The following is a 14,527-nucleotide window of genomic DNA, read 5'->3' as shown; positions in this document are numbered from 1 at the left end:
GAAACCCCGTCTCTACTAAAAATACAAAAGAATTAGCTGGTGTGGTGGCGGGCGCCTGTAGTACCAGCTAATCGGAAGGCTGAGGCAGGAGAATGGCGTGAACCCGGGAGGCGGAGCTTGCAGTGAGCTGAGATCACACCACTACACTCTGGGCGGGGTGACAGAGCGAGACTCTGTCTCAAAAAACAAAACAAAACAAAACAAAAGAAACCTATCTAGAAATTGATCTCTCTCTGCCTCATTTGGTGTCACCATCTTGGTCCAAGCCACTGTCATCTTTCACCTGGATTAAGTATTGATAGCTTCCTAATTGGTGTCTGCCTCCTTCAGCCTTCCCCACTTCACAGCAACTAGTCCACAGAGAGGCCAAAGAGATCTCATTAAAATTCAGGTTGGATCATATCACTCTTCTACTCAAAATCCTCTATGGGTTTCCCATCAGCCAGATCAGGCCAGTCCTCAAGTGGCCTACAAAGTCCTACATGAGCTAACTCCTGGCTACCTCTCGGACCTCATTGCCTACCCTGACCCCCTCAAATATGTTGCAGCAGCCACCCTGGTTACCATGTTTTTCCTCTGCCTATTGTGAGTGTACCCCAGATAGAGAATGCTATGGACAAAGAGACCAAAGGTATCCCAGGAAATCACGATGCCATGAGAGACAAGGGAAGAGTGGCCAACTGTGTCAAATGCTGAGAGCTGGGCACTCTGCGTAGTTGATTGCAGCGAGAAATTTCAGTGAAGATCCTTGCTTAAAACTGCACATGGTTTCCTTGCACACAGCATCTAAAATCCAAATTAACTTTTGCCAAGCACAGAGCCGCAGTTTCTGACCAACTACGGTGAGCACGAATGGCATCTTGTCAGAAGTGTTCTCCTGTGTGGGTAAAGAGAGAAACTAAATCACAGGTTTCCCTCTCAGGCTGTATTCTATGCAGTCCAAGCAAGGGATGAGTTCACTGGTTTCTTAAACAATTGGGAATGATTTGCTTTGTCCATTCCCCTGCCTTTTTTTAAATGACTAGGAGTATTATGGGAATACATAGTAAAATTATTGTTGAATTCAGATAGCTCATCCACAGAGTCATAAAAGAGAGTTTTTAGGGGCTAGTTAAAATGGCTAAAAATGCAAATGTAAAGACCATTGAGATATACAGAAACTATTGTTCTAATCTACATTCCATGTCACTGAAGACTAGAATCTCAATCTGAATAAGATATTAAATAGGTTTCTTTGAGGCCAAGGATTTATAATTATGGCATAGTGGCAAAAATGGCTGTGAAATGTAGTAAAGCTTTGGTTCAAAAACTTATAGATGGATTTAAAAAAGTCTGTTGATTCCTGAATAAAACCAATTGCTTTGGGAATAAAAACACAGAAATGAAATGAAATAAAATAGATTAAATGATATACAAACATTTTCATATCCTGCCAACTTTGGATTCTGAGCTCCATGTAAACTTGCATACAAACTTCAACATGGAAATGAGAGCTGAGCTTACTTTCTCTCTGGGGAACGGTTCTATAAGGAGTACCGAATCCTGCTGAGTTATGCTAGAGTTTAAAGGGCAAGAATATAAACAAATAAAATCCAAACAACCCTTCTCTTAGAGTACTCTGGAGAATAAGGTTTCTAAAATGTACCATGTTGCTCAAAGGTATCATTTAGCAATGAAGTGACACTGACCCTTAAAATAGGAAATCAATTCAAATGAAAAAAGCCCGCAAAGTCATTTGACAAGTAATCAAAAAGTCTGTGGAATCATCTGACTAGGGGTCATTTTTACAATAATCAAAGGATATTCAAAATGTAATATTCTTACAATTTGGATGGACAACCAGAACATTTCAGAAAGAAAAAAAAAAGCAAAGATAGAAAACAAAACAATATCCATCACAATCACAAAGAAAAAGGCAAATTCAAGAATGGTTCACCTAAGAGTCTATTTCCTGACATGACTGACCTATTTCAATATTCTGAATTACTGAAACAATAGAGTAAATAATGTCTCCCAACTACATGCCGAGATGATCTTACTCCAAGTAAATTCAAACTCTCATACCATAAAATAATTTGAAATACACTGTGGCAGTATTATTAGGAACAAATAAACACGTTCACAGCAGGGAACATAGGCAGGGATCTTGAAGCTGTTACTGGTTGAAGCAATTCAATGTCATGTTACTACTGGGTCCATTTATAGCATACTGGTTTGTAAAAACCTTATCTTTTTTTTTTTTTTTTGAGACAAGAATCTTGCTCTGTTGCCCAGGCTGGAGTGCAGTGGAGCGATCTCAACTCACTGCAACCTCCACCTTCTGGGTTCAAGTGATTCTCTGGCCTCAGCCTCCTGAATAGCTGGGACCACAGGGGCGTGCCACCATGCCTAGATAATTTTTCTATTTTTTTTAAGTAGAGACAGGGTTTTACCATGTTGGTCAGGCTGGTCTTGAACTCCTGACCTCAAGTGATCCACCTGCCTTGGCCTCCCAAAGTGCTGGGACTAAAGGTGTGAGCCACCTCACCCAACCTCTAAAAACCTTATCTTTTTAACACACCTTGTTAAGGTTTTCCTTGAAACTGAAAAAGGCTTTTGTTTTGAATTTTTTTAAGCACTTTGATGTTACCACTATAAACTCCTGCTTAAAAGAGTACAATCAAGCAATTTATTTAAACAGCGTTCTGACCTATCTCTTGTTCTTTGTTGGTACACAGCAAGAGTCTGATACTGTAATATCTCCTAATAAGCATAAATATGACCTTTTAAAACATACTAGAAGAGAGGAACAAAAGAGAACACTAAATACAAATTCAGGGTAGTAGTTACAACTGGGACAGGGTGGAGGAGGCAGGATGTGAAAGGTACACACTATTGGTAATGTTTTATTTCCTAGGCTGGTCATGAGTACATGGGTGCCCATTTTAATACTGATAGTGTAAACTGTACACACATACACTCTTTGGTATATATTTTACTTTTTACAATAAAAATTTTTAAAAAGACAGACACAGGAAGACATTAGTAAAGCAATAAAAGATTTACTTTTTAAGTTTCAGAATGCTCCAGTGAAAATTCCACACGATTCCCTCACAGTGTCTACTATGACTTCTACAATCAGGCTGGATAAAGTAAAGCTGACTCAATGACGTGTGCTGGTGGAGATAACACAGGCACAGAGCTGCCTTGCTGCCACTGTGGGGTCAGACTCAAATCTCTCCTGGGAACAGGGCCACCCTGCAGCTGAAGTGGGCTCTTTCCTCCCGCGAATCAGGGCTGCTATTGTGGACCTCTCTTGGCTGGATGGCACAAAGTAGGGGAAGGCTGCAAAAGTATCCTCCATTCAACAAGCCCTAAGTATTAATAAACTAAGCTTTTCATTAGTCAGGAACACACTCTTCTGCACTCTTTGTCTAAAGTTATGCTTCAGGCCTTAATCTCAAGGGACTTCCTCCTAGCGTCTGCCCCACACTCCCCACCCTGTGCTCCCCGACATCCTGTCCTTTCCTTGTAAATGCTCTCCTCACACCCCACTTAAATGACCGGCTGTCTGCACCCCCAAGAGGGCAAAGGGCTGTGTCTACCTTGTTTACCATTATACCCTCATTACCTGACAAATGCCTGGCCCTTTCACAATGTGTTCAAGAAACATTTGTTTGAATGTCAGGAAAAATGAATGAATCAGTGAATCAATGAATGAATAAATAAAGAATACAATATATCAAACTAAATTCAGATAAGCTCAGCCATAAAAATCAACTTGCTCTACAACAAATGGCTTCAGCATAATGCCCAACACAAAAAGTGTCTGCAGAGATAATTCAGGATCAACTTTGAATGCTGACACTACCTTGGAGGATGCTTAGATATGTTTCCTCCAAGAATCATCTTTCTGTGTGAGAGAATCACCCCAAAGGAGACTCACCTTTTGAAATATTTGATTACCAAAAAAAAAAAAAAAAAAAAAAAAATCTGGCCAGACAAGGTGGCTCATGCCTGTAATCCCAGCATTTTGGGAGGCTGAGGCAGGAGGATGGCTTGAGCCCTGGAGTTTCAAGACCAGCCCTCGTCTTGACAAAAAAATATTAGCTGGGCATAGTGGCTCAAACCTGTGATCTCAGCTACTCAGGGGGCTGAGATAGGAGGACTGCCTGGGCCTGGGAGGTTGAGGCTGCAGTGAACTGTGATTGTGCCACTACACTCCAGCCTGTGTGACAGAGTGAGACTGTAAAAAAAAAAAATCCATGTACTTTTACTAACACACAAGATTACCAAATCCCTCTCGGAGTCAATTCCTTCCGCTCATGATCGATGTCCAGCTGGCCACATATCTATCCTTAACCTTTTTTGTACCAACAAAGATCTTTCTGTTTCTCAAATGAGAAATGCTCAAAGGGTCCTGAATCAGGCCAGTCACTGAACTAATCACTTGACTCTAAAGCCCTGGGATTTCTTCTTGCCCTCCTCTATATATGTACTGTTCATCTCTCTCTCTCTCCTGCAAATGGTCTCCTTTCTTCAATCAACCATTCATTCTTTCAAACACACACTGAGACTCAGCCTCTAAATGTACTGGACAGCCTAGTGGAGACAAATAAACAAACATCTACAGTGCGGCTGCAGAAGCACCGTGGCTGGCCCCTGGGATGCACAAAGTGCTATTAGGAGACTTTCCACAGCGCAGGGCTTCCATTAAATACTAAAGGCTCAAAACATGAAGCAGGCAACACAAATGCCCCAGTTGCAGTTAGTTTGAATTGTATCATCTGCATAAAGCATCCAAACATTTCTTGGTTCTTAGCAAGCAGATGAAAATAAGGAACTTTTGGTAGGAAAAATCAGATTTTACTTCTGCTAGAGTACAGGGGACTAAAATGCTTAACATAAAGAACATGTTGAAAGCTCTGGAGGCATATCTGATAGATAAGAAAATAACACTCTCACATATTTTACACTTCCCAGGTGCTGAAATGGCATATTAAAATTGCTCTTCAGGAAAAAGACCACTGTACCTTAAACTTATCTTTCTGGGCTCTCAAATCTTATCAGGTTTATAGTATGTTTGAAGATATGTGAACCAAAATTTAACTGAAACCAGAAAAGCCAATACAATTATTACTAGAAGGACAGAACAAGAGATTGGAAAGAATACGCCTACGGTCGATGGCAATAAGAATATATTCCTCTCCTCCAAAATACAGCAAAAAATTTTTAAAAATTTAAAAATACTGATGCCTACTGAAACTACTGAAAAATACTAAATTACTCTATATGATATTATAATAATAGATATATGTCATTGTACATCTGTTGAAACCCATACAACGTACAACAGAAAGAAGGAACCCTAACGTAAATATAATGGTCTTTGGGTGATAATGATGTGTTACTGTAGGTTCACCAACTGTAACAATGTATCACTCTGGTGGGGGATACCAATAATAGGAGAGGCCATGGAGGAGACAGATGGGAAATCTGTACCTTCTGCTCTATTTTGCTGTAAACCATAACTGCTCTAAACAGTCTAACTCTTAAAAGAATACTAATGCCTGGGTCCCACCCCTACCTCCAGGAATTCTGATTTAATTGGTAAGGGGTATGGCCTGGGTATCAGGATTTTTAAAAGGCCCCCAGGTGATTTGAAACATGTAATTACTACCCAGCATACAAATGAGATGTTGGGACTTCACTTACGATGCTATTATACAATAAGACCATGCCTGAAGCAGACGAGCCACACCTTGCCTGGCATTTGATTGACTGTAGGTATAGGTATGTTCACTTGTAAAATACATTATTAGTGCACATGCATGAACCTGAACTTTTCAAAATACCAGGGCAGTGCTCTACTCAGCTTCTTAATCAATAACACACTTGTATAAGTTTACATGTCGGCAGAGAAATTACAAAAATCTACTTTATTCTGAAGACTGCACTGGCAGCCTGAGTTAACAGGACATTGGTGTCCAAAGTCCACGAATTATTCATATAACCACCCACAAGTGTGTGTGCTATTTTTTATTGTGATTTTAATGGTTTAAAATGTACTTTGGAAACAAATGAAATACGCACTAAGCATTTGGAAGCTCTAAAATGCAGCTGTGCCAGGTGCAGTGGCTCACGCCTATAATCCCAGCACTTTGGGAGGCTGAGGTGGGTGGATCGCTTGAGCTCAGGAGTTCAAGACCAGCCTGGGCAACATGGTGAAACCCCATCTCTACCAAAAATAAAAAAAATTAGCTGAGCCTCATGGCGCACACCTGTAATCTCAGCTACTTGGGAGGCTGAGCGGGGAGGATTGCTTGAGCCCAGGAGGCAGAGGTTGCAGCGAACGGAGATCACGCCACTGCACTCCAGCCTGGGCAACAGAGTGAGACTGTCTCAAATAAATAAATAAATAAACTCCAGCTGCTAGAATCTAATGAAGAGAGCTTGAAAATCACTGTTCTGCTTGGTTTTAAGAAATTCAAAGGCCAGGCGCAGTGGCTCACACCTGTAATCCCAACACTTTGGGAAGCTGAGGCAGGTGGATCACCTGAGGTCAGGAGTTCGAGACCAACCTGGCCAACATGGTGAAATCCCATCTCTACTAAAAATACGAAAATTAGCCCGGCGTGATGGCGGGCACCTGTAATCCCAGCTACCTGGGAGACTGAGGTAGGAGAATCGCTTAAACCTGGGAGGCGGAGGTTGCAGTGAGCCGAGATCGCACCGCTGCACTCCATCCAGCCTGGGTGACAGAGCGAGACTCCGTCTCAAAAAAAAAAAAAGAAATTCAAGTTTACTTCAGGGTGTAAAACCAGTCTGCTGCAGCTGGACAAACGGCCTAACCACAAACCAATCACCCAGGGGAGGGTAAATTAAATGGAGAAAGAAATACTTCGCCTTTTTTACAGCCATGGGTACTTTCGAGATATGTTTACTGTCGAGTTATCCTTTGGACACGTTTTTAATGAGATCTGAATTCAATGCTGATTTGTCCATGACAATTTCTTATTGAAAACACATTTAAAAGCTCCTCCATTGCTTCATAAAGTCCATCATTCTCAGCATGGCACACTAGGCTTTTCAAAGTAACCCTCCTTTTCCTGCTTTACATTTGGCAAAGGCTGTTGGTGGCGAGCTGGTATCAGCTTGCTCTCACTTCCTTCAACATGCCACGCAGCCAGCTTACCTCAGGGCTATACTCACACAGCTTGGAACAAGGCCCACCTCTGAAAGCTTACAGAATTTCAAGACTCCACCTGAACGTGACTTTGGTAAAGCCCTCCCTGATCTTACCACCTTTTCTTCTGCCACACTCTTCAGTAATTCTCACACGACTCTATGGCTGTAGTCTACCGAAGACACACCTTTCAGTGAAAAGCACAATCTCCCTTGCAATTAACTTCAGCTCCCCTGTTAGACTCACAACTCCTTGAGCCATGGAACTACACCTTACTTGGCTTCAGTGTGCCTAGCACCTACTACACTTCCTGGTGGTCAGAGAGCTCTCAAAGAACACTTCAAAAGGAGTGAACAGATAACACTAAATTTTTTGGATTCCTGTAAAGTGAAGTTATGATTAATGAAACATATAAGCACTATTTTTTTTCCTAAAATAAGGAAACCAACCTGCCCTTAAATGGATGCCTGACCCCAGTCAAGCTCTCTCTGGCTCCTAGAAAAATCTGGCAAAAGAGTATTGATTAATCAGCACTGATTCATCACTGCCAGAAAGAGTTCAAAGTGTAAACACTCACCCTTGAACAGAAAGTAAAATATGAGGGAGGAATGGAAACATCTGCCCCTGCTTCCTATTGAGATGCTGGCTTTATCAGAATTTTTAAAAGACAGTATCAACTGAACAATTCATTTATTGAATATATAATAAGTCCTAAGTTCTGAGTGGGATGAGTCTCATTAGATACTGTACATGGAAATATACACAAGAATGTGTACAACAAACTTTGTGTCCTACAGTGTGCAGGGTATGGCACAGTGCAGGGCATGGGAAAATGGCCCTCCAAGCAGGGAGTCAGCACTGCCTGGTCTGTATCTTATTGTTATTTATGCCACCTTATCTTCCCTAAGGTAAGTTCCTACTAAACCATCCCCCTGAAGTAGCAAATAGACTATATGTAGCTAATTAAAGTCAAAATTTGAAAAATGAAGAGGTCAGGGAATATTTTATGAAAGATGCACTTGAATTTTATCTGGTATACTGAGAAGACTCAAAATAGATTGAAAGGGCATTTTGCAGAGACAGAAAAACATGAGATGATGTTTAAAGATGAATTATGAAGATGAATTTGGCTGGAATAGAGGAAAAGTTTTAAGATGAAAAGGTAGTCTGAATTCAGATGAGCTGGAACTTGATCCTGTAGGAAGTGGGCATCACGGAGGATTCTTAAGCAGGCTTGATATAGTAACAGTGGACTTTTTGGTTGAGTTGTAAAGATACACAAAAAAGGGAGGAAAAGAAGAGACATTTGGAATAATTACTGGAAAATTTATTGGAATAATTTTTTCCCCAAAGGATTTTTGTTAGTTTCATTCTGCCTCCAATACTGGAAAAATAGAAAAATTTCCATGAGTGACTCATCTCTAAATCTTTCAAAAACAATACTACTAACAAATGAAATTATTTTTACATGTATAAACCTGCAAATTGACTTTAGATATGTGAGGGATATTTTTAAAAACTAAGTATTGCATACATTTAATTTCTTTTCTTTTTTTTTTTTTTTTGAGATGGAGTCTCGTCCTGTCGCCCAGGCTGGAGTGCAATGGTGCCATCTCGGCTCACTGCAACCTCTGCCTCCTAGGTTCAAGCGATTCTCCTGCCTCAGCCTCCTGAGTAGCTGGGATTACAGGCGCGAGCCACCACGCCCGGCTAATTTTTTGTATCTTTAGTAGAGATGGGGTTTCACCATGTTGGCCAGGATGGTCTCGAACTCCTGACCTCAAGTGATCCGCCCACCTCAGCCTCCCAAAGTGCTGGGATTACAGACGTGAGCCACCGCGCCCGGCGCATACATTTAATTTCTGATAGTAAGTAATTCTACATGATTATATCTGTCAAATGACTACTCCATGTTCCTTGAAGTTATTTTTTTAAACATCACAACCATTTTGATGGGACTCTTACTAAAATGTATTATTTTCCTTCTGTCTTCATAAAAAGATAATATGGTGAGTGAAAGTTTAAGGAGAAACATGATAGTTGCCTAGTTTCAAAGAATTACCCATAAGATAGTTATTAATTACAAAGGGGAAAAAAATAGTTACTTTAGAGTGGAGAAACATGGCAGACAACACCTTAACCAAGGATCAAAGTCAACATCACCAGCAGTGGAACAAATAAGCAGCACCTTTCTCCTTAGATCAGGTACTGAGAAGAACAGAACATTACTTCCGTGGTGTTCCTGCCAAATATGGATAGCCTAAATCATCAGACACACTTGAATGAGGGGCAATCTACTATGTAACTGGCTTATATAATATACATTAAAAATATTAATGTAAAACTTTAAAGAAAATGACTCAGGAAATGCTGCAGACTAAAGGTGATGAAAGAGACATGATGGCTAAGTGAATCACATGATTCTGGATTTTCTTCTGCTCTAATGGACATTATTGGATCAACGGGCATCATCCAAATAAACTCTATATATTAGATAACAGTACTGTTACTGTTTCAATATTCATTTCCTAATTTTGATAATTACACTGTGGTTATATAACATGATGTCCTTAGTCTTCAGGAAATACATGTTAAATTATTTATAAATAAAGGAACGGCATTTTTACTGCTTCCATGTGGTACAGAAACACATATACAAGGTGGGAGGGGGAGGAAGGGGAGAGAAAGATTTAAGCAAATGTAATAAAATGTTAACATCTGAAAAACCTGGGTGGGCCAGGCACGGTGGCTCACGCCTTTAATCCCAGCATTTTGGGAGGCTGAGGCAGGCGGATTACCTGAGGTCAGGAGTTAGAGACCAGCCTAACCAATATGATGAAACCCTGTCTCTACTAAAAATACAAAAATTAGCTGGGCGTTGGTAGCATGCACCTGTAATCCCAGCTACTTGGGAGGCTGAGACAGGAGAATTGCTTGAACCCTGGAGGCGGAGGTTGCAATGAGCTGAGATCGCGGCATTGCACTCCAGCCTGGGCAACGAGAGCAAAACTCCGTCTCAAAAAAGAAAAGAAAAGAAAAGAAAAGGAAAAAGAAAAGAAAAGAAAAACCTGGGTGAAGGATAGATGGTATTCTTTGTGTTCTATCTGAAACTTTCTGTAAATGAGAAATTATATCAAAATAAAACTGCAAAAGAAAGAACTACAGTATTCCATTTAACCTTTATTTGGTAGCTCAGAACTTGTGTGGACATTAGGAACATAATGTAACTTAGTGTGCCCTCTGGGGCCACTCAGGTATGTCGGACTATTTGCTCCTAGCCAGATGTCTCCAGCCATGATTATTTTTGAACTTTTGTAAATGCTTTTAACATTCTTACTGTCTACTCCATGCAGATCAGGCCAGCTGTGGCCACTGCTGATTGCAGCTTGCCTCCAGTAGTAGCCTCTATTTCACCTCTAATTAATTGTTCTACTATAGGCTTGAAAACTCATCTAGTTCACGTTCATTTTATAGATGAAAATACTCTAGCCCAAAAAAGGAAAGTAACTTATTGAAGGTATCCAGATCATAGAGAACAGAAACAGAATTTAAACAATTCTGAAGTTCTTTTTTTGTGATATCACACTGACTTGATCAGTGTATAAAATAAGAATAGTCTCTTAGTGAAGAACTGTGTTACAGGTAAAGATCAAGAAGTTGAAGGAATGGGTTTTGCCATACTAATCTTAGCTTCCTATTAGCCTTTTTTTGTTTACTTTCCAGTGGCCAAATATGCCTCTGCAGATTAGGAAAGTGTTGATGTATTTCAAGATTTTCCCCTAAGCCTCCTCTTTAACAAAGAAACCTATATGTTTCATAATCTCTGGATATTTTATATCTTACTGAGTTGGCTGCCTGTATTGCCTGAAGTTTAGATTACTACTCACTTTGATTTATACACACAGACAACAATTCAACAAAAGAGTAAAAGAACACATGCCATTAAGTCATCTGAAACTGACTGTAGCTTAGATGGTACAACAAAATTTTAGAGCACCTTGTCCCTCCAAAAGTATTTTTCCATATATTTTCAGATAATTGAAAGAAACTTTTGCTTCCTGACTTACTGTAAACATTTAATGGAATGAAATATCTTGAATTCCTTGGGGTCATTCTACCCAAAGGACTGGGATTTATTCCAGGGCTTCTGAATAGCATGAGTTGCCTGGAACAACCAAATCTGTGAAATGGATGAAATTGTATTTTTGAGAAGGGTGATATGAAACAACTTTCAAGCCACAATGTCATTTTGAGATAATTTCCAAACCCAAATGTTTGTGTAAATCTCCATCAATGAGAGACTGTTTAAAGTAGCTATGATATATCAACATAAGAGAATACTATAGTATCATAAGAAAAACTGAGGAAGTTCTTTAGTGCTGGAATAGAATGATCTCCCAAGATATTATTAAATGAAAAGTACAAAATGTAAAGCACATCATATACAAAAATTAACTCAAATAAAACATAGACTTAAAGGTAAGAGCTAAAACTATAAAACCCTTAGAAAAAAACATAGGAGTAAGCTCTGTGATCTTGTATTAGGCAATGGTTTCTTAGATAACACACCAAAAGCATGAGTAACAAAAGAAATAATAGGTAAATTGGACTTACCCAAAATTTAAAATTTTTTGCTTTAAACTACCAAGAAAGCAAGAAGACATCCACAGAATGAGAGAAAATATTTGCAAATCATATATGAGACTTGTATTCAAATATATAAAGAACACTTACCATCAACATTGCAAAGATTAAACAATTTAAAAATGGGTAATGTACATGAATATCATTTCTCCAAAGACATACATAGCCAATAAGCACTTAATGGTGCTCAAGGATCACTAAGTCATTAGCAAAAAGGCATATTAGAACCACAATGAGATACCACTTCACACTCGCTAGGATGGCTATATCAAAAAGATGGCACTAACCAGTAGCTGGAGAGGATGTAGAGAAATTAGAACTCTCTACATTGTTGATGGGAATAGAAATGATACAGCCTTTTGAAAAACAGTTTGGCAGGTCCTCAAATGGTTAAACACAGAGTTATGATGACTCAGCAATAGCAATCCTAAGTATATACACAAGAGAAAAACATGTCCCTCATCTTATGAACAGATAAACAAAATGTGGTATATTCATACAATGGAATATTATGGCTATAAAAAGAAATGAAATATTGATACATGCTACATCATGAATGAAAACTGAAAATGTTATGCTAAGTGAAAGATGCCAGACAGAAAAGGCCCCATATTATCTGATTCTATCCATATAAAATTTCTAATACAGAAAGTAGATTAGTAGTTGCTAGGGGAAGAGGGACTAAGCCCTAATGGATATAAGGTTTCTTTATGGGGTGATGAAAGTGTTCTAATATTATATAAGTAATGACGGCTGCAACACACTGTGAATACACTGAAAAACCACTGAATCCCAACTGAAATGGGTGAATTCCACAGTATGTGAATTATATCACAGTAAAACTTCTGTTAAAAAAAAAAGCAGCTGTAGAACCATGTGTATGAGATGCTATCACTTATAGATTTGCTCACATCTCCATAAAATATCTCTGGAACCATACACAGGATACTAACACTGAGTTCCTCAGCAAAGGGACAGGGGACTAGGAGGAAGACTTTTTATCATGTATTCTTTTTTAACTTTTGAACTATGTCAACATACTACTATCTAACATTTTTATTTAAACGTGAAATAAAAGACCTGGTGTGGTGGTTCATTCAGCACTTCGGGAGGCTGAGGCAGGAGGATCACTTGAGCCTAGGAGTTCTAGACCAGCCTGGGCAACATAGTGAGACCCCTGTTTCTACAAAACATTTTTTAAAAATTTGCCAGGCATGGTGGCTCATGCTGTAAATCCCAGTTATTTGAGAGACTGAGATGGGAAGACTGCCTGAGCCTGGATAGTTGAGGCTGCTGTGAGCTGAGATCGCACCACTGCACTCCGGCCTAGACGACAGAGTGAGGCCCTGTCTCAAAAATAAAAGGGAATGAAATTAGAAAATGTTTTTAAAAGACTAGTTCCTTCTACTGGCTTAGCAATGCAGGCTCTATGCAAAACAATTCGCTTATGGGCTGCAAATGGTAATGAGTGTTAAAATTAGGCTGAAACAACAGAAATATTTGCAGTTTTCTTCCTCTATTGTATAATTCCGGTTCCATTAATGTTTCCTGACTGATCTTCTAACTCTCTATATATCTCAGTGGCTCTCTGATGAACAAATTTTCTGTGTCTCTTGTTTGGAGACCCAAACTGAACAAATTTCTGCTATGAAGGATCAAATTCCCAAATTTCTTATAAAAATAAAACCACAGCAAGAATAACAAACTTATTTTTTCTTAAATTTTGTGATAAAGCCTCCCTCTACAAAAAGTTATATTTTAGAGGAAACTAAGAATGATAAATCACCTTTAATTTAAGAATATATAGCCCTTAGGAAAAAGCCAAAAACAGCTTAGAAACACATGTTCCACTCCTAAATTTCCATCCAAATGGATTAATACTGCCCTCTGAAAGCCATTCCTCATTTTTCAACAACTTTGTCACACAGCTTGCCCACAAACAGGCTTCTAAAACAGGCCACTGAACCCCAACTCCATTCACAACAGAGCAGAAGGAAATAGCACCCCCTTGGTAAAGTTCTCCCTTCCATCTGATTCCAGGGTGCAGCCCTTTCCATTTTGGAGAACTCTGTGCTAGAGATCTTATTCGACATATGTATTGTCTTCACTCTTCTGTTATTGGTGCCAATGCTGCCCACCCCTTTGCTGATGCAAACAGGGAGGGAGAGCTGCTTTACAATGCTGCCTAACATGCCAAGACAGCCTCAACTCCCTCGCACGGCACACAGAGCCTTTCAAAGGCTGGCTCCAGGTTACCATTCCAGCCAGTTTATCATTCTCATCTCATCCCAGAGCCTACATTTTTGCCACATCAAACTTCTAGCCCTTTCCCCAACACAGCACACTCTTTATAATATGCTGTATATGCTATCTCTCAGTCTGAATGCCTTCTCCACCAACCCACTCCCGTTGGGCCAACTCCCACTCTTCCTTCAAGGCAACTCCAAGGCAATCACCACTGCAAAGTCTCCCCTAACTCGTGGTCTAATCATAGGTATTTTTTCTGAAGTATAAATGAATTTTTTATTTTAAAAGACTTATAAAGGTGTAAAAATTGTCATAGTTCATGTAATTGAAGACACCACTGAGGGTAAGACACATTATTTTCTGTGTCCCCAAGAAATAAAAATGCTGGCTATGACTCGCCAACAATTGTAAGGCATATCCCAATATCAGAGATATTAAAATATTAAAAACTGTGTCAGAATTAATGAAAGG

The 14,527-nt window shown here is 39.5% G+C and overlaps 1 protein-coding gene across 4 annotated transcripts in view, besides 1 other annotated feature; it reads right to left on the bottom strand.

Annotated features, from left to right (window-relative positions):
- The window catches only part of MPZL1 (myelin protein zero like 1), a 69,938-nt gene that overhangs the window by 31,519 nt on the left and 23,892 nt on the right, over positions 1–14,527 (bottom strand). The gene's annotated exons all lie outside the window — the stretch shown is intronic.
- Positions 7,200–7,319: an enhancer, noted in NCBI's record as "active region_2053". NCBI's record gives its function as "activates an Ori minimal core promoter by ATAC-STARR-seq in GM12878 lymphoblastoid cells {active_cell/tissue: GM12878}" and the evidence as "EXISTENCE:reporter gene assay evidence [ECO:0000049][PMID:35858748]".

Source organism: Homo sapiens, chromosome 1 (assembly GCF_000001405.40).
Source record: "Homo sapiens chromosome 1, GRCh38.p14 Primary Assembly".
Taxonomy (NCBI): domain Eukaryota; kingdom Metazoa; phylum Chordata; class Mammalia; order Primates; family Hominidae; genus Homo; species Homo sapiens.
The sequence above is the reverse complement of the archived record's forward strand: the minus strand, read 5'-3'. Positions and strand labels throughout refer to the sequence as shown.